General features: G+C 45.8%; 1 protein-coding gene across 10 annotated transcripts in view, besides 3 other annotated features; it reads right to left on the bottom strand.

Annotated features, from left to right (window-relative positions):
* The window catches only part of CAMK1D (calcium/calmodulin dependent protein kinase ID), a 485,999-nt gene that overhangs the window by 32,925 nt on the left and 432,212 nt on the right, over positions 1 to 20,862 (bottom strand). For all 10 annotated transcript variants that reach the window (XM_006717483.5, NM_153498.4, XM_006717482.4 and 7 more), the window contains one exon: positions 11,388 to 11,463. In XM_006717483.5, the coding sequence (XP_006717546.1) occupies positions 11,388 to 11,463 (76 nt within the window). The remainder of the gene's footprint in view (positions 1 to 11,387; positions 11,464 to 20,862) is intronic.
* Positions 5,718 to 6,219: an enhancer, noted in NCBI's record as "NANOG hESC enhancer chr10:12838401-12838902 (GRCh37/hg19 assembly coordinates)". NCBI's record gives its function as "activates a minimal SCP1, AML or CMV promoter by ChIP-STARR-seq in naive H9 embryonic stem cells {active_cell/tissue: H9 hESC(naive)}" and the evidence as "EXISTENCE:reporter gene assay evidence [ECO:0000049][PMID:30033119]".
* Positions 13,592 to 14,091: an enhancer, noted in NCBI's record as "H3K4me1 hESC enhancer chr10:12830529-12831028 (GRCh37/hg19 assembly coordinates)". NCBI's record gives its function as "activates a minimal SCP1, AML or CMV promoter by ChIP-STARR-seq in naive H9 embryonic stem cells {active_cell/tissue: H9 hESC(naive)}" and the evidence as "EXISTENCE:reporter gene assay evidence [ECO:0000049][PMID:30033119]".
* Positions 14,092 to 14,593: an enhancer, noted in NCBI's record as "H3K4me1 hESC enhancer chr10:12830027-12830528 (GRCh37/hg19 assembly coordinates)". NCBI's record gives its function as "activates a minimal SCP1, AML or CMV promoter by ChIP-STARR-seq in naive H9 embryonic stem cells {active_cell/tissue: H9 hESC(naive)}" and the evidence as "EXISTENCE:reporter gene assay evidence [ECO:0000049][PMID:30033119]".

Genomic DNA, 20,862 nt, shown 5'->3' with positions numbered 1-20,862 from the left:
TGAACCCAGGAGGCGGAGGTTACAGTGAGCTGAGATTGTGCCACTGCACTCCAGCCTGGGTGACAGAGCAAGACTCTGTCTCAAAAAAAAGAAAGAAATGAAGAACAGCCCAGAAGTCTTGCAGTTCCAAAATCAATGCGGAATGTTCTACCCAGTCTGCATTTCTGAAGACAGATGGGAGGAGAATGGCCAGGATAATGATGGCCCTGTCTGTGGAGAAAGGGCCTGGAGAAAACTGAGACTGCATTTATACTGAGAAAATCCCAACAGGACGGAGAAGCCTTTTTCAGCGCTATGCTCCCATGCAAAGCTGCAAGAAGATACAAAGGCAAAAGAGTTCCCTCTGGCGAGACCTTGCAGGGCTCTGTGAGGCTGGCCAGGGGACAGGAGTGCCTCGCTGATGGGGAGAAATTGGAAAATAAAGTTAATAGATATAAGTGAATTTTCTAAACACCTGTGAAAGTGCTGACACTTATTTTAAAATATTTTATGAAAAAATATTTGAACATAGCAGTTCACACTGATAACTGAATAATCATTAGTTAATGGCAACCCAGAACTCTCTGTTTTAATCCAACTGGGAGAAAAGGCCATGAAGGAGAATAGAAGTGATTTTTTCAAGGAAAAAGGGCGACTTTTTCCTTGTGTGGCAAGTCTTCCTCAGCCAGGAAGTCAGAGGAAAGGAGACACAGGTGCAGAGCCTAGCTCCATCAGGAACTGTGTGAGTGACACTGGGGAAATGAGTCACCCACTCTGAGTCCAGTTTATTCAGTGAATGGGGATAACAACACCCACTTTATATAAATATTGGAACATATGTCATGTATTCCATGTCCTAATATGTATGACACATAAAACACACATAGATATACAGACAGGTGATGGATAGATATAGATAGATGATAGGTTGATAGAGATAGATGACAGATAATGATAATGAAGATAGATATAGATATGAAGATAGACAGATGAGATGGATAAATAGGTAGATAGATAGATGGATGGAAGGATGGATGAATGGATAGACAGATAGATAACAGAAAGATGAATGGATTGGTGAATGGATGGATGGGTGGATGGAAGGATGAATGGATAAACAAATAGAAGATGGATAGATGGATGAATGGATGGATGGATGAATGGATAGATAGATGACGGATAGATAGATGAATGGATGGATGGATGAATGGAAGGATGGGTTGATGAATGAGATGGACAGATGGATGGATAGATAGATAGATAGATAGATAGATAGATAGATAGATAAGATAGATAGATAGATAGATAGATAGATAGATAGATAGATAGATAGATAGATAGATACACACACAGACAGAAATATGGATGGATGGACGGACAGATGGATGGATGGATGGATGGATGGATGGATGGATGGATACTAGAGATGTAACATCTGAAAGTTCCAGTGACATAGTGATCATTAAATGCTGCTTCCCACACCCTTATCCCCCTCTTCTCCTTTTCATCCCAACTCCATCTCCTCCTTCTCAGGTTCCTCCAGCTGAAAGATGCTGAAGTGAGAGGGCAGCCACACAGCATCAGGAAGAGCAATGTTGAGGTGGAGAGAGGAGCAGATGAGCCCTGAGGACTCACCCCAATGTCCCACACTCTACCCATGAAAATGATGCAACATACTTTAAAATTTTGGGCAACAACTCAGAACCACCCACTAACAACCATACACCCTGACATAACCTTCTAAGCTGCTGCAGAAGGGACAGAGGGAGACGCTGCCTCTGGTCATTATTCTGAGCGCTGTATTATGAACATGATGACAGAATGCACTCAACCTGCTTTAGAAGTTTGATCTTTGTGTGCCAGTATTTCTGAACACTTAGCCAAGGATGGATGGCTCAATTCTAGAACAGCTCAAGCTTTCCTGAGAACGCCTGCTCAAAGGCATATTTGTTAAGGAGTATTTTTTATGCAGTTAGGCCAAGGTGCCATAAAAATGACCGAAGCAACAAATCTCCATGTATATTACACACTAGGCAAGCTTCAAGGCCAACCCAGGCCCAATGGGGGTCTGAAAAACACGAGCAAAATCAATCAACTCTGGGCATTGCTCCTTAGGATGTCAGAGTGTGCCCACATGTAGCGACCACTGGGTGGCCACTGTTTGTCCTCTGCCTTGGCACTCGGTCAGTATTTAACATATGTTTATTGAATGAATGTCTGCATCCTGTAGGAAGAAATCTGAATTGTATTCATCTTACTCTGTATAATATGACAGACTTTAAGAAATAATAAAATAAAGCAAAGCTTTTAAAAGCTGATAAATCTTTTGTACTTATTTGCAAGGCCAACTTAGTAACCAAAACAGGTTTTAGCATATTATTTGGATTTATAGCATTTAATGGCCAATGAGACCTGAATCGTTATAAAAACGTAATCCAATGATTTCAGTAACCGTATATTTGATTGTGTGCGTTTCCAGAGCTTTCTCCTTGCAAACTTAGAAGAGAGCAGGCCAGGGAAACTAGGAATGGTTCACATATTAAACCATGCAGAGGGTGACTCCGGCAAAGTACTGGTGATGAAAATGCAAGGGGGATAAATGCCTGCTGCACCCTCTGAGGTTTAGACAATGCCTTGAAAACTGAGAAGGAGTAAGCAGATTAGGAAAAGATTTAGGGGAAAAAGGAAAGGGAATACCAGAGAGGAAAAGGGAAACCCACTCCTTAGAAAGTTGATGCACGACTGAAATTGAACACTGGCGGGGAGGAGGGGAGGGAGAACAAAACACATCCCCAAGCATGACTAGTGAGCAGCAAAATCCACATTTTGATTCCTGCATTAGCCAGATGGACACCACCTCGAGAAAGCCCGGAGCATGTGTGCAGAGTACCAAGCCTCCTCCTAAAGGGCCAAATACATCTGCAGGAAGTTGGGAAAAAACCACTTTCAGAGCAGCTCATGGCTAACAGTGAAACTGAGCGCACACCTGGGACAAAGCAGAGGAGTTAGTTCTCACGAGGGGTGGATTTTACACCAAAGCATGAGGGGTGCAGACACCCAACCTGGAGGCGATTAGCACCAAGCGCTAACCGATGATGCGGAACCCATGGAGAATTTCCAAGTTAGATTTCTGCAGCTTGACTTTGCTTACTTGGTGGTTAGGTTCTTCCTTCCTCCCTCCTTCCCTCCCTAGCTTCCTTCCTTCTCTCCTTCTTTTTCTCCCTCTTTCCCTCCCTCCCTCCTAGTTTGGATGGGTAAGCAGTTACGCATCTGCATAGGCTGACAATGGCCCCAGGGCAATGTCGTGCTCCCTCCACCCCATTGGCTGAGGCCTTTCACTGCACTTTCGGCGTGTCCTCTTTGCTGACTCCCAACAATGCACTTCTGAGATGGACTAGAAAACAAGCCCTTGGAACGTGGACGGCAAGGAGACCAAAAGCGGGAAGGTGGCACCGTGCACCACATTACATGGTGTTGCGTCGAGTCGTGGGCTTCTGATCAACTCTTCCAAGGATCCTCCCACCCGTGTCCTCCAGGGTTTCCCTGACTTGCTGGTGTACGATGGAATCCCTCCCCTCCTGGCCTCCATCTCTACTCTCTTCGTCACAAATGGGGCCTGAAGCCACCCGCTTGCTATTGTGCCACCCACCGTGGAGCTGGGCATTTTCCCCCTGTGCATGTTCCTTGGTTCTTTTCACCATCTATGCCCTGCTCCTGTCCTGCTGAGTGCTGCTGCTGTGCACCTCCAATACATATATAAAACCATAATAAAGAGCCCCTGATTCTTCTGTGTGCACAGTGTCCTGCTAGGGGAATGAAAAATCCTGATAATTCAGAGACTATATTTTCCCCATCCCCAAGTTTGAGATATTAAAAGTTCAAAGCTCGATCAACTCCTTCAAACTCTATTTTAAACACTATGTTTCTAATTGAATGGCATCTCTTTTCTCATACACAAACAGCACATTTTATCTTTAGATAATTGAGTCTTGAGAGGATAAACCATCAGTCTCTCTAGGCAGATATTGAAGACAGAGCTCTTCCCGCAGCCTGGACTAGCTCTCTCCTGGCAGATTCTCACCCATCTTTCCAAACCCAGATCGCTGTAACCTATCCTGGGAAGGCTTCCTCAGGCCAGGGCAGAGTCCCAGCTCTGTTCTAGGAGCTGCCCCACCACCTCCCTCCCATTTCAGGCAGCTGGTAAGACTAGATTGTAATTTATCTGTTTAATGTCTGTCACCTCCAGCAGACAGTAAGTGCCTCCTAGGCCAGGCCGGTGATACATCCATCTCTGCATCCCCATCACACTGCCTGACACATGTTAGGCTCGATAAAAGTGAGTTAAGTGAATGGATGTCAGTCCCCTGCCTTCCATTCTTCAGGCCAAATATCCCAAAGCCTTTAGCTGCTATATAAACTATGGCTTCTAGGAGATGGGGTTAAGATGAAAATAAGAGCACAGGAAGTAAAATGTTTCTCCATCTGGCCTGAAGCCACGCCATTCAGGGCACAAAAGTGACGGCTGTGAGCCACTACCTTCTGACCTCTCGCTCTGTGGTGCCCTCTCTACCTCATGGCCTTTGAAGGCAAAGCCACAGAAGTTGGTGCATTCCACACGGCCTGAGGTCACCGGCAGGGAGTTGCTCCCCTCACCATCTAAAAGCCCGATTTCCCTCAACTGCTCTGCTTGTGAAGTTTCCCCCCTCACTGTTGTGTACCTCCTGTACCTGCTCTCTGACACCAGAGTATTTTGAGGGGTTAGAGGTAGTAAACCAATTGTCACAGACAATGCCTCAAGTCCCTTGCCTCAGCTTAACAAAGCTGAAATATGGCCCAAATTCTGCCTGCAACTAAAGCTGCAGGGACTCACAACCCACAGGTGGCATTTAGCATCCCCAGGATGGACTCGGCAGAGAATGTGATGGGGAGACGAGGTCCTTTCTGAAAACCCTTGGAAAGCAGCCAAACCGAAATGCAATCCATGAACTAAAATGAGTCAACTGGAAATCATAACAAACAATCGATGCCTGCTGTAATCAAACTACGATGCTGGAGTGATAATGGGAAATGGTGGGTGGCTGGTGGCTGGTCTTTAAAGCAGAAGAAAGGAGGGTTCATAAGAACTGGTCAGTAGGGGCTGGGCACTGTGGCTCATACCTGTAATGCCAGCACTTTGGGAGGATCACTTGAGGTCAGGAGTTCAAGATTAGCCTGGGCAACATAGTGAGACCCCGTCTCTAAAAAAAAAAAGTTTGTTGTGTTTTGTTTTGTTTTTAATTAGCTGGGCATAGTGGCACACTCCTATGGTCCCAGCTACTTGGAAGCTGAGGTGGGAAGATGACTTGAGCCCAGGAGGTCAAGGCTGCATTGAACTATGATTGCACCACTGCACTCCAGCCTGGGTGACAAAGCAAGACCCTGTCTCTAAACAAAAAAAAAAAAAAAGGAACTGGTCAGCTGTGCTACCCAGCCAAGAGAAAGAGCTGCTCAGCGGAATCATCCTTCTATGGAGAAGGTGGCCTGGAGACCAGCACAGGCTTCGTGAATATATCTAAGGCCACCCGCCTCCACTGCTCTGATACCCTGTTCCAAAAGAAAGAAAACTTCTGCTTTTCATTTGGTTTCTCACGGAGCATTTCCTATAGGGGAGAGAACATGTTTGTTTGCTGACATGCATATCCAATTACCTTGTGAGGCACAAACTGCATTATGATTTAGTAAGTGGACAGTCCAGTCTTTTTTTTTCTCCTCTGAGTCTAGTTACTGTGAATCAATTCACAAAGATGTCTGAACAAGATGAATAAACAGATCAAACTAAGTTTCCAAATTTCTAAAGCCAAAATCCAGACCATGGGCCCACAGTGGCCTGAATGAGGCACCGTGCCCCACCTCACAAAGCTCATGAATATAAGCAGGCGACTGTTGCCCGCTGGCCACATCAGTGAACAGTCCCTATTAAAGTCAGCACTCCTCATGCTGATAGGAATAACAGCCATCACGACCCCCCGGGGCTTGGGGCTCGGTGACCACGCTGCATTCTCTCTGGGGGATGCCTGGGCTCAAATTCTCCTTAGAACATATGTATTCCATCAAGAGCCAGCTGTCAATTGCTCAAAGGGATGGGAACTGCCTTGGCGAGGCTCATCTCTTGTTTCAGAACATGGATATAAGCATGCAGATTAGGCCTTCCCTGTTCCATTCTTCCAAAGCTAATTCAGCTGCATGCACAGGCAAATCGACATTTATGTGAGTAAATTTTAAAAAGTGAGCAATGTAGAGGCTCACTAAAGAAAGTGGAGTACCATCAGCGTTTTGCCTAGAGTTTCTTCTAGGCAGAGAGGTCTGAGGTCTCCCCACCCATGGCCAAGTTCAGCCCACCCGTCCAGCCTGCTCTTGTGCCTCTGACGTGCCTGTTCCAATTTGGGAGTGGGAATCTCTTTAGGATCCTTCTCAGCTGTTAGCCCACATTCAGTGTCTCCTCACAATACGCAGCATACTTGAGCATAATTTAGGCAAATGATCGTTAAATAATCATTTAAAAAATGAGTATCCTTCAAGTTCTGAGAAGAAAGGCGGGCCGCATGTTATCACAGAATCAAGATTGATCTGTGAGATGCTGAGGTTCATCTTGACTGAGAAAATTTGTGCCTTGGACCTTATGCTATCTTGGCTGAGCCAAGCCCGTCACACTGGACACCAACACGCTTATCACAAAGCGCAACCCACGCCGTCCTCAGCCCTTCCTGGCAGCATAAGCTATTTGAGCAAAGATGTTTTTTGCAAGTCCTAATCCCCAAAGCAAGATTCCTGGCAGGATAAGAACTCATCACATGGGTTTTTAAAAATGAGTGTCCTTGGTAGGAAAAAATACTTCTCCTTCCAAATGATGAATAGTAGATAAATGGAGACCAAAAGAGGGCCAATTTATCAAGGGCGCACACCAGCAAAAGGAGGAATGTTTATATGGCGTGCAAGAGGAGAAAACTCGGTGCCACGGCTTGTCACGGCCACTTTGGCTGCAGTCTGATATCTCAGCGTGACAGGTTTATCAAACAAAAATAAAAAATAAGAGTGCTATGCTCCAAAACACTGCAGGGGCTGACCTCTTTTCCATTACAGTGGCTGGGAAGAATGAGGCGCTCCGTGACTTCCGTGTGGGGAGGTGGCCTCCCTGGCATGCTGCCTGTTGCTCATGGACCGCTCAGTGGCCTTGTGCATAAGTCTTTAGGTGGGAATGGGAGACCAGGCACGGTGGACCCACAGGAAGGAGAAAGAGTCTGAGAATGAGACAAACGAGTTCTGATGTCTAACGCTGCTTAAATCCAGTGCCCACCTCTGACATCGACACAAACCCAGGCTACAGAACAGTCAGAGGATAGCTTCATGAGCCCTCACACAGGCCATGGCACCCTGCTCTGGTCCTTGCCTCCCTCCCCTGTCCTGTCTGATGCTCTTATCTCTCTGCTTATCCAACCTTCTAGACCCGCCTTGATGGTGCTTTTCCCTGTCCTCAATGACCACTGCATTCTGTGACCTACTATAGCTGTGCATGGGCCTCCCTGTACATCAGACCCCCAGCCTCAAACTTATCATTCTTAGTGTCAACAACCAGCATTTATTGATTACCTTCTCTATTCCAGGCACCGTGCAAAGGGTGAAACATGGAAAGATGATACAGACTCGATGCCTCTCAACAGAGTACCAACCATCTGTATGGTGAGAAAAGATGAATTCATAAGGAGATTAATCTACTGATAATAAAGTTGAGGCTGGTGGTACTCCAAGTGCAGTCGTGTTATATGGTCAATCATACCCAGGATTTGACCTATCACCCATAGGAGTCTGAACATCTTACAGAATACAACTGAGATGCCAAGGGTCCATTCATTTTCTGCTTGGGACTCACAGAGTTCTGGAAGGCACTAGGGAAAACAGAAGCCCAGGCTGCCATCTTGAAGTCTGACAGTGTCATGAAATTGATGTGGGACTAGTCTCTGGGGCAAAGCTAGTGTGACCAGGAAACCATCAAGTAGAAACTTACCAAATTTATACTCAAAGGAATACGGCATGTCTTTGCTTAATACTACATTTGAACCCTGGCAAATGTTGCAGTGCATACGGAAATCATAAGGGTTTGGGTGCACCACTTGTCAAATCATACTCAGAAGTACGTGCCAGGATCTCTATCCTGGACCTTTCCTGAATTCCACACGTGCATACACTACTCAGTGGGTATCTTCCAAGGGTCTCAAGCTTAATGTATCCAAAACCAAATTATTGATCTCACCCCCCTTCCTAAATCACCAAATTATTGATCTCACCCACCCTTCTAAATTGGCTCCTCTACCATTCCTCTCTCTTTTTTCTTAACCATCGACACAGTTATTTAAGCCAACTCCTTGGATTGAGACTTGAAGACTACCTCTCCTTCATCCTCCACATCCAAAATATATCTGAGATCTCTTCACCACTCTGCCCATAATCACTGCCTCCCCAGGAGAAGCGCCTCTCACTGTTCCTCTGCCCAGAGCTTCCCACTCATTCTCCACCTTCCACATTTTCCTTCCAACGCTTTCTTCAGAGTGGCTGGGATAATACTCGAACGTAAATCAGATCAGATCACAACACTGTTCAAAACCCTCCCTACTGCTCTTGGGTTAAAATCCAAACTTTCTAATCAGTCTCTCTTTGTTCTGGCACTAGGTTACTTCTTGCATGTCGCTTTCTGATGTATTGTCTTGATACTATCTAGCCATGCTGGCCCTCTTTCCAACATCTTCCTACCTACAGTCCATGGTAAACGTGGTTAGTTGCCTACTGCCAACACGTTTCCTGCCTCCTTCTTCACTAGAAGAACTGTGCTTTCACTCAAGGCTTCTCCCCACTGTCAACTGCTCCACTTGGCCAACCATGATGATCCTGTTTGCTTTGCCAGTGACTGGATTAGAAAAGATACCAGAGAGCTTGCTCTTCTGTACTTTCTCTACAGCATGTGAGGACACAGCAAGAAGGTGGCTGTCTGCAAGTCAGGAAAAGAGCCCTCACCAGGAAACGAATTGGTTGATACCTTGATCTTGGACTTCCAGCCTCCAGACCGTAAGAAATAAATATCTGTTGTTTAAACCACATGGCATTTTGTTGTAGCAGCCTGATCTGACTAAGACATCATTGCTTAGTTTTAAACTGCTTATCCCAGTCATTCTAAGAAACATCTGGCAGCATCTGTCAACAAGTACCTAACCAGAGCTGTACCAATGCCCCACCCCAAGGCTGTAACTTCAGGGAAATAATTATACAAACAAACCCAAAGGGAGTCCACAGACATTCGTGCAGACCATAGTCATGGTTCAAGGTCCAGATAGACATAAAGGAACAAATAACCAGAAGGCCAGAAAAAGGGCTACTTTCCCCAGCCCCAGGGAAGGTTTCTCTAGATGACTGATACCAGCTTCAGTTCTTTGCAGGAAGAGGCCTGGCCTAGCATTTATTTCCTTAAGCCTTCCATAGTCAAGCTGGATGAGGCAGGACCTCTGATAAGATTTCTAATTGAGGACTTAGAGAGCCAGGGTGAGTAACACAGGGCTCCTGTCCAGTGTCTGCTTACCCAGGACAATGACCACACCCCCCGAGAAAATGGTATGCAAAATTGTGTGCGTGCGTGTGTGTGTGTGTGTGTGTGTGCGCGCACACATGTGATTTTATTAGGGGATAGGATCCATGACCTTCATTAGATTCTCAAAAGGATGTGAAACACACCTCAAAAGGATAAAACTGCAAAAGGTGATCAATGTCTTTTGAAAGGGAAAGCATTCTGTAAGTGCAATATGTTAGTTTTAAAGCTCAGGTGAATCTGCCCTTTACCAATTTCCATAAACGAGAGTCCTTTAGGCCAAGTATATGGCAATGGATGAAATTCTCCTGTGATAACGACAAGAATCTACAGGCACTGTTACCTAAATCCACACTAAACTACAAATGCAGCCCAGCTGAACGCTGGAGAAAGGCCATCTGCTTCTCAGATACTGCACCAAAACCAATGTGGTGGTGGTGTAGTGGGGGAATGTTTCCAGCATTCCTGGAGGAGAAGAGGATGCCACACACTGCCAGAACTTTCTCCAATCACCATCCCCTGCAGTCTTTTATTGTGTGCAGGGGGCTCTTTCTGCAAGGAAATGTTTCTCCTTGGGGGTGATGAAATGGGGAAATTCATTTCCTAGCAATTGCAGAAACAAGTTGGCCTAAGCCTACCCTAAAAGTATGTTCCATAATAAGCATTTGAAAGTATAACTTGTAAAAGAAATTGTAATTTAAAAATAACTTTACAGTAGACTTAAGCAAAACAAATAAGAAACAAAACTGATGATCCTGAAATAACTGCAACAAGCCTATGGCCTAGAATTGCATTTCCTGGGTTATGGAGATAAGACGTCTCAGAAGAAATGAGAAATCTAAAGGCGAAATTGAGATTTTCATTGCATTTTTTTCTCATTATGATTTCTTTGGGAGATGTACTATTTCCAAGTGGTTTGTATCCACCAAAAAGCCAAAGTGGCACATGAAAAGAGGCTTAATTAGCTATTACAAAAATGCAAATTGAAAACCCCAATGAGATACCACTTCACACCCATTAGAGGGCTATTATTGAAAAAAAGGAAAATGGCAACTGTTGGTTTAGATGTGGAGAAACTGGAACCCTTGTGTTTGCTGCTGGGAATGTAAATTGGTGGTGCTGCTGCTACAGAAAACTGCATGGTGGCTACTCAGAAATTCAAGGTAGAACTACCACATGGCCCAGCAATTCCACTTCTAGATAGAAACCCCAAAGAAGTGAAGGCAGGGATTTAAACAGATATTTCTACACTTGTGTTCACAGCAGCATTACTCAAAAGGTGGAAACAACCCAAATGTCTATCGACGGACCAAGGGGATAAACAAAACATGGTCTATCCACACAACGGAATATACTCAGTTTTTAAAATGAAAGGAAATTCTGACCCATGCTACACCATGGATGGGCCTTGAAGATGTTTTGCTAAGTAAAATATGCCTGACATCAAAGGATGGATACTGTGTGATTCCACTTATATGAGGTCCCCAGAAGAGTCAAGTTCATAGAGACAGAAAAGAGTACAGAGGTTTCCAGGGGCTAGGGGAGAAGGGAAAAGGAGTTTTTATGTAAGGGGTAGAGTTTCAGTTTGGGGTGATGGAAAAGTTCTAGAAGTGAATAGTAATGGTGGTTGTGCAACACTGTGAATGGACTTAATGCCACTGAACTGTACCCTTAAACATGGCCCTGAACTGCACCCTTAAACTGTACCCTTAAAAATGGTAAATTTTGTTTCATGTATATTTCACCAAACAAAAAAAGGCCGGTAGAGGAAGAACCCAAGGCAGCAGGCAGTACTTACAAGATGTAGGCAATCACTCCGATGGACCAGCAGTCAACGGCTTTGCTGTAAGGTTTCTGGGCGAGGACTTCAGGAGCTGCAGAAAGACAAAGAAAAGACACAGCCTGACAATTTACATGCCTCGGACTGAAGACAGTTTTTGGGGTCTGCTATTTGGCCTGAACTTTCAGTGAGTATAAAAACTGAGTAGAGAGACATAACCCATTTTATGTGTTGGCTTTTTTTTTTTAAAGGAAGGAAGATAGGGTCTTGCTCTGTTGCCCAGGCTGGGGTACAGTGGCACAATCATGGCTCACTGCAGTCTTGACCTCCTGGGCTCAAGCAAACCTCCCACCTCAGCCTCCTAAGTAATTGGGACCACAGGTGCATGCCACCATGCCTGGCTAATTTTTATTTTCTTTTTTTTTAAGAGATGAAGTCTCGTGATATTGCCCAGCCTGGTCTTGAACTTCTGGCCTCAAGCAATCCTCCCCCATCAGCCTCCCAAAATGCTGGGATTATAGGTATGAGTCACTGCACTCAACAGGCATTTTTAACTAGAAAGAAATATGAAGACGCTACAGTATATAAAGAATGTAAATTAAAAAAAATGAAGGGGTGTGTGGGTGAGTGTGTGTGTGCGTGTGTGTGTGTGAGATGTGAGATTACTGATGGAACTCTGTCAGTCAACAAACACATAATACATGGCTATTTTATGGCAGTGCCGTACTAAGCACTGTAACACAAATCAGGCTGACATAAAAAGAAATACTCATTTTGAGGTCTGGAGTCTGTGACGTCACCTCAAGTCAGCTCAAGGCAACATTTCTGGCCTCTGTTTAGGGCCTTCTGGGTGCTGTGGGGTCACAAAGGTGAAGCCCCTCCCTGGGCCCTCCTGGAGGTGACAGTGCAGTGGAGCTCAGAGCTAAGGCCTACCCTCTGAAATTCCTGCTTCAGGCCTGCCCCTAATTCCTTCTCTAAGGTTTGGGGAGGGTGTCAGCATGCTCATTGCATTTTCCCATCTCATCTGTGAAACAGAAAAACTGCAATTCAACCTTGCATTCTTGGTTCTAAAGCACTCTTCATCAAGAGTCATCCATGCTGGGGGCTTGGGCTTGCTCTGTATTCCCTGTTCCTGGCCTTGTGGCTTGTTCTATACTGATTCTCTTTTACTGGCCTTGGGGCTTGTTCTATACTGATCCTGACTCCCTGTTCCTGGCCTGTGGCCATCGCCCAGCATTGGCTACCCACCCACTCTGGCGACCAGCAGCGTCTGGCATAGCTGGCACTCACTATATGTTAGTGCAAAGTGTAGAAAAATACAAGAAGAGGCAGTGAATCTGAGTAAAATCTCCTTTGCCCCCAAACATATCTGATGGCAGTGTCTTTAGCACAGACTTTCCAGAAAATTTTTAAGGATAGAGACAAATAGCTAGAGCTGACAAAGTACTTGTTGGATTCTGAGTTAGGTCTTCTTTTATGATGTATTCACTCACTCACCCCAACAATCCTTGACAGGAAGTGCTGGTAGCATGGTCACTATTATTCCCAAATTACAGGGGAGGACACAGAGGTATGAGAGGTCAGGTAAGTTGGCCAACGTTACCCAGTGGGAATGTGGCGTCTACACGAACTTCCTTTCAGAAGAGACTTCATTTATATTGTCTGCCATGAACTGGGTCCTGAGTGAGTCATTCATAAATGTTTTCTGCTACAATCCTTTGAACTCTGACAACTACCATGAAGTGCACCTGATAGGTGAGAAAAATGAGCCTCAGAGAAGTTAAGTAACTTGTCCCACATCACACAGCTAGATAGGAAAGAGCTGAGATTTGAAACCAGGTCAATCTGATCCTTGTTGCAGCTCTTTTCACTCAAACGTACTGTTTGCTAAGGTGAGAGCGTCTTCAGTCTAGGTTTACATGGGTGTCCAATCTTTTGGTTTCCCTGGGCCACAGTGGAAGAAGAAGAATTGTCTTGGGCCTCACATAAAATACACTAATACTAATAGTAGCTGATGAGCTAAAAAACAAAAATCGCCAAAAAAATCTCATAATGTTTTAAGAAAATTTACGAATTTGTGTTGGGTCACACTCACAGCTGTCCTCCGGGGGTTGGACACACTTGGAAAGGAAAAGTTCTTTTGCAGAAAAATGAAAAGGGAAATCCTCTCTTTCATCCTATTGACAGTAAATATATTCCTGAGCAAGAACAGGAAGGTAGACAAACCACTGCTGAGCGCCTCTGCCTATGGCAGTGAGGGATGCACTCCACAGATAATCCCCGAAACTGGCTTTAGTCTGCAACGCCCCCAAACTTTCTATCAGATTTTTATTTTTTTTAAACAAGAGCAAAATAAATACATCTGCACATCCTTTCTTCACCATGTTCACCCTCAAAGCGGCAGCAAAATGAGAGACAGAACTACAAAGTGAGGGAACTCAACCTGGGAGGGGCCGCCCTTGGCTGGCCGGGCGATAGCTGACTCGTCCGCCCCGACTGCTAAGAGCGTATTTCTCAAGACTCTTGTCTTATGGGAACTGACAAAAGGGAGCCACATTTACCACAGTTAATGTCTTTCTGATTTAGGAGGCATGCTCTCCCTGAGCTGCCACTCTGGTCCCAGTGGCCAAACAGGCACAGAGGCGTGAGAAGCAACGACATCCACAAGGACCATCCGGGGCCAGCCTCGTGGCCTGATGGAAAGTGTCCCTGAGGCAGAGAAGGCTCCTAGAGCAACGGCTGACCAGCTTCCCCTCCCGCAGAGCTGACAGCGTGTGTTGGGAGGGAAGAGCTAAGTTAGGGGGTGGAGGCGCTAGGTTCCAGATCACAAGAATCTGCAAAGCTCTTCAGTGAGATGGCGCAGCAGCCAGGCCTGGCCACTCCACAGAACCAGATATCAAACAGCACAGAGGTGCTGGGAGCTCAGGACAAACTTCAGGGCACAACCTCCTGCCCCGTGCCAGGTGCCCAGAGTTGGAGGCTGCAGTGAGCTATGATCACGCCATTGCACTCCATCCTGGGCAACAAGAGTGAGGCCCCATCTCTAAAATAAATACATAAATAAAAATAAAATAAAAGATTTCTGCTTTGGATAACAGCATGGTTGTTATGGGGGAAAGTTTAAATTATTAACAAGTAAATATCAGGATGACAATATTGGGGATGGAGATTTACATATTTGTGTCAAGAATTTGAACAAGAATATACATCTCTTGTTCTTTTTGGTGTTGTGTCTTATCTGTGTCACATCAACCAACAAAACATAATTTTTTTTTTGGAGATGGAGTGCAGCGGCACAATCTCAGCTCACTGCAACCTCCACCTCCTGGGTTCAAGCCATTCTCCTGCCTCAGCCTCCCAGATAGCTGGGATTACAGGCGTGCACCACCAGGCCCGGCTAATTTTTGTATTTTTAGTAGAGATGGGGTTTCACCATGTTGGGCAGGGTGGTCTCGAACTCCTGACCTCATGATCCACCGGCCTCAGCCTCCCAAAGTGCTGGGATTACAGGCGTGAGCCACCGCGCCCGGCCTCTGGTGACCTTCTTAATTGTGCTTGGAAACAAACGCGGGGGTAAAGAAAGAAGCCCAAAGCAACAGATACACGAGAAAGGAGCACAGACAAGGAAGCTGCGGTGCCTCCAACAGCTGCTTACACAGCCTCTGAGCAAAGACCCGGCGGATGCCCTAGCCAAGGAAGACAGCAGGAATACAAGGCCACAGCCACCGCAGAGCAGGCTTCCTGCCTAGGAAGCGCGGATACTCTGTGTTCTCGTGAGTGCTCTATGCTCACAGTTCTCCAGCATCGTGGATGGTGGGAGGGAGGACTCTTTAAAAGAACAACCTCCTCCCCGTCTTCATCATCTGTTAGAATGAGGAACATACTGGCCACCATCCATTGCTCAGAAAAAGAAAGAATAAAGAACATGGTTTTTTCTAGAAATCCACACATCAAGGGACACTGGCACATGACACATTTCACCCTCAATCTGGCAAATCTGCTGACACACTGGGCCGTGGTGCAAGGCATGTACAGGCTGGAAAAGCAAGGGGCTAATTTTTATGCTTGGATGTTACTTGAGATGTTTAGATTCTTCTTCTTCTTCTTCTTCTTCTTCTTTTTTTTCTTTGAGAAGGAATCTCATTCTGTCGCCCAGGCTGGAGTGCAGTGGCACGATCTCAATTCACTGCAACCTCTGCCTCCCAGGTTCCAGCAATTCTCCCACCTCAGTCTCCCCAGCAGCTGGGATTACATATGTGCGCCACCACGCCTGACTACTTTTTGTATTTTTAGTAGAGAAGGGGTTTCGTCTTGTTGGCCAAGCTGGTCTCTAACTCCTGACCTCAGGTGATCCACCCGCCTTGGCCTCCCAAAGTGCTGGGATTACAGGCGTGAGCCACCATTCCCAGCCGAGATGTTTAGATTCTTGCAGCCACAGACTAACTACACTTAAATAATTTTTAAAACACGAGACTCTGCTTAAATGGTAAAGTTTATGACATCAAGCATATGGTTAAGAAAAGGTTCCTGGGCTACATGTAGTGGCTCATGCCTATAATCCAGCATTTTGGAAGGCTAAGACAGGAGGATCACTTGAGCCCAGAGTTGGAAGCTGCAGTGAGCTATGACTGCACCATTGCACTCCAGCCTGGGCAACAGAGTGAGACGCTGTCTCTAAAATAAATAAACAAACAAACAAACAAATAAAAAAATACATAAGATTTCTGCTTTGGATAACACTATGGTTGTTATGGGGGAAAAGTTCTAAATTATAAACAAGTAAATATCAGGATGACAATATTGGCGATGGAAATTTACATATTTGTGTCAAGAATATGAACAAGAATGTACATTTCTTGCACTTTTTGGTGTTGTGTCTTATCTGTGTTATATCGACCAACAAAATACAAATATTTTTTAACCAATTAGAGGTGGGTAAACTATTTGTCTTCTGGTGACCGTCTTAACTGTGCTTGGAAACAAAGCCAGAGGGTGAATATAGAAGTGACATGTCACCCAGCAAACAAGACAAAGCAAATTGATTTGGAAATGACATTTCCACCAACATGAAATATTTTTAAAATTGCATAATGGCACACACACCCATACCCTAAATTCTAATTTCACTTGTGATTGCTGGAATCAAGGGTCCTTTGAAACATTGTTTGAAAAAGCCCACCAAGATCACTTCAAATAGCTATTTTTCATCTCACGGAAATTCGTGGAAAATATAACATTCTCAGGCAATTTTCAAAACTCTCCTGATAATTTGATATGGTGGCCAAACCGGGCCAAACCGTGGAGATCCACGAGGATGTTCTCTCTCCTGCTCGCCTCCTGTGATCGGGAGTCAGCTGCACTGTTTCACCAACCTGCTGAATTCACCCGGCCTTTCTAGCATAGCCCCCAACCCATCCATTTTCTTGTTTCAGCTGTGGTGAGGTACATAGCCCTGGGAGAGTCCACTTCTCACTCTGATCTTGTCAGACGCCAGTTTTCCTGCCTGAGAACCAGCCGAACCGGCCAGTGTTGTGTTACCAGTTTTATGACGCGTGGCAAGGACTCTGCTGTAATTCCAAAAAATCACAGCGTCCAGCTTCCAAACTTGCAGAAGACCAACGAGTTTCCAGACCCAGGAGGTGCCCAGCACAGTCCCTCCGGGGCCTCGGAAAGTGATGAGGGCTCTGAACTATGCAGCCACAGTTCCATCTCCTGGCCAGTGCTGCCTGGAGATACCCGAGAGCTTCCTAGTCAAGGAGAAATTGTATTCTAATCGTATGCAGCAGAATTCACGTGTGATTGGGGAACCTGACAAGGACTCCCTGCTGCTCCCATGCCTCCTGCAAGAGGGATGCTTTGAGTTCTTGCTTATTTGGAGCTACTAACAAAGACAGGCGGTCACTGAAAGGCTCCATGGCTTGTGTAAGATGTCCCCAGCCTCCAGACAAAGCAGGAAAGGGCCTATTCTCCTGGCCCAGACACAACAGAAGGCACATCCCCTCAAATGACAAGGCAAAGTCCCTGGGGGCTCTGTCAGTGGCTATAGGGAAACCCACCCACCTGGAGATATTACAAGGGACCTATGCAAGCCAGTCGGCACGTCCAGCCTTCAGGATATCCCTTAGGCTTGCCCAAAGCCAGCGTTTTGGAGCTGCAGAGAGTGGGGTTAGCGTGGGGGCGGCTGTACTCAGTTGACACACATTGGGCACAACGGTTGGGTTCCCAGGTGCATTCATCAAAATCCTGTAACACAATGGCCTCCTCTGACTCCCTCTGTACCTCCAATGTCCCTTTACTGCTGCATAAATCCCACTGTCAAATCAGATTTCACGCTGCTGGAGGGGCAGGGCAGAGCTCTCATCTCCGTATGTCCTGATTGGTCAGCACTTGGTGATTCAACTGAACCCAACCTAGTCGCCACACACCATTATTTCTGTGGAAAAATGTCTTCCAAATTCCACACGACTGGGCTACAAGTCAACTTTGCTGCCTGAAATATTTTTGGTGAGTAGGTACAAGAAAAAATAACACAGGACGGGCAGAGGCAGGGAACAAATGAATTTGGGAATGGAAGCAACTGCCAATTGGCAAGTACCTGTATTAGGTAAAAGCAAGAGCAGTTTGCTAAATACCTTTCCATGAACACATGATTTCAGACAGGAACTTTGAGGAGAAAAGAGGCAGAATTCACCCTAACTCTCAGTGTGTGAATGTGCTTGTCACTCATGTTGCTCTCCCTTTAATACCTTTTCTCTGGCCGGCACGGTGGCTCACGCCTGTAATCCCAGCACTTTGGGAGGCCAAGGAGGATGAATCACCTGAGGTCAGGAGTTCGAGACCAGCCTGACCAACAAGGTGAAACCCCGTCTCTACTAAAAATACAAAAATTAGCCAGACGCGGTGGTGGATGCCTGTAATTCCAGCTACTCAGGAGGCTGAGGCAAGAGAATCGCTTGAACCTGGGAGGTGGAGGTTGCAGTGAGCCAAGACTGCCATTGCACTCCAGCCTGGACAACAAGAGTGAAACTCCATCTCAAAAAAAAAAAAAAAAAATACCTTTTCTCCAAGGAAGTTCGGGTCTACCAGGTTTAGGGGCAAAGGGCAGAAAGAAATACTTTGTTACACGATCTCTCAGAACCTCCTCCTGGTCAGATCTTGGGTGCTATTAACTCAGCTTTCTTTGCTATTCCTGACAAAACAATATCCCATCGGCTTATCAAGTTTACACCAGTAAATAAAAGTTAAGCTCCATGTAAACCACTCAGCCTCACCAGAGTGTCCAAGGAGCCATCAGAGACCCCTGTGGAGAGATGTGGTCCTTCTCAGAGACCACGATTAACTCATGCTTTTTATAAAACTAGGTAGAAAATTCAAAATAATTGGATTTACTACTGTGAGACTCACCACCAGCCCACTTATGGAAAATTCCACTTTGCGGGAACCAAGCTACTTTATATTGATTTAGAGCAAGTATTCCTGGCGAACGGAAAGACTCGAGAGACTTCAAAAAAACAAAAAAAGAGTTTCAGAAACCTTTCATCTTGTTTTTAAAACAATTAAATTGCCCATTTTCCTTACCAAAGAAGAGAGAAGAACAAGGCGTAACCAAGGGGACTGAAACTAAGACAGCAGCTGTCTTGTGGGTGTGGGGCTCGTGGTAATCAATCTTCATGCTCTTCTGAAGTAGAAAAGAATTTTCCCTTTCCCGAGCCCCAAGGACGTGCCAAGAAGCAGTTTCTGCTGAGAGGGTGGAGGAAACGGCGAAGCCCTTAGCCTCCTAGGAAGCCCACGTTCAGGGTGCTTTGCTCACCTCCATGGAAGTCTGTGTGGCCTCTCCTCTCTGTCCTTCACACATGACCCCTCCAGTGGGCGGAGGACGGTGACACATCAGGAGGGAGCAGCCTGGGGGACAGGGGCAGTCCTCGATGCCAGAAGATAAAAGCCAACAGTCCAGCACCAGGCCGGGTATAGTGGCTCACGCCTGTAATCCCAGCACTTTGGGAGGCTGAGGTGGGCGGATCACGTGAGGTCAGGAGTTTGAGACCAGCCTGGCCAACATGGTGAAACCCCGTCTCTACTAAAAATACAAAAATTAGCCAGGCGCGGTGGTGCATGCCTGCAGTCCCAGCTACTCTGGAGGCTGAGGCAGGAGAACTGCTTGGACCGAGGAGGTGGAGGTTGCAGTGAGCCAAGATTGCACCACTGCACTCTAGCCTGGGCAACAGAGCAAGACTCTGTCTCAAAAAAAAAAAAAACAAAAAAAAAAAAAACTGAAAATACTGAATTTACTCTAAAAAACAAGTCTGTTATCTCAGATCCAGCATGGAATCAGAGGACAGGATTATAGGCTGGGCTCTGTGCCACAGTAAACTAGAGGATTCATTACCTTGCCTATGCCTCAGTTTCCTGTCTTGATGGGCACATGCCACTGTGTCCTAGAGTTACGCCTGCAAGGAAAAGAACTGGAGCTCAATTTGGAAGAGTTGCACATGGCCTCTCATTGTAAACAATGCCAGTAGGTATCTGTGTCCAGGGTTAGACGCTCAGATCACAGCTGGTCTTCCGGTCCTTGAGGAACTTCCACCAGGAAGTGGGACGAAGCGATGCCCCCCCTGCTGGTGGGGGAAGGAACACCAGCTACTAAATCAAACTGTAATCAAGTTTCTAACAGTTTGCGACACTGCGTATCAGAGAAGACACGAGAAGATTTCTCTCAAACAGTGAGAGAGAAAGATGACATTTCTACCCAGCAGTGGCCTTTTCAGAGATGCTAAACAGAACTTAAAGATCAGGAAAAATAAAATTAAGCTTCGTGTTGTTGCAACCCCAGACACACATTTCAGTAGAGAATTTGGCCTCAGTAAGAATGACATCAAGACAAGGAGGTGATACTGAATGTGCTGGGTCAGGTCAGCTTCCTGTCAGTAGCAGAATTTGCAGCAGCAGGGATATTAAAAAAGAAAAAATTAAGACAATGAGGGACTTTTACCAGGAGCATCTTGATAAACAGCTGCTGCTTCACCCAGGTTTCCAGTATTGCAATCCAGACTGTTGGCAAGTAAAAATCAGGCTGAAACACAGGAGCGTTCTCTGCCTGAAGTCTGTCTTCCATCCAAAGTCACAGAAGAAGAGCAGAAGGCTTTTGGGACAGCTCTGATCTTTTCTGTTGGGATAGCCTCCTTCTCTGGTCTCTATCAGCCTTCACCTAGAGCTGTCATTCATGAGGAATGAATTGCCTCTAGCAATAGATCAGGATGGCAAAAAAAAAAAAAAAAAAAACAATTAAATTAAAAACATATCACCAGGCCAGGCATGGTGGCTTACGCCTGTAATCCCAGCACTTTGGGAAGCTGAGGCCGGTGGGTCACCTGAGGTCAGGAGTTTGAGACCAGCCTGGCCAACATGGTAAAACCCTGTCTCTACTAAAAATATAAAAACCAGGTGCAGTGATGCGTGCTTGTAATCCCAGCTTCTCGGGAGGATGAGGCAGGAG

Source organism: Homo sapiens, chromosome 10, assembly GCF_000001405.40.
Source record: "Homo sapiens chromosome 10, GRCh38.p14 Primary Assembly".
NCBI lineage: Eukaryota > Metazoa > Chordata > Mammalia > Primates > Hominidae > Homo > Homo sapiens.
Note: the sequence above shows the minus strand (reverse complement) of the source record. Positions and strands in the feature narration are given on the sequence as shown.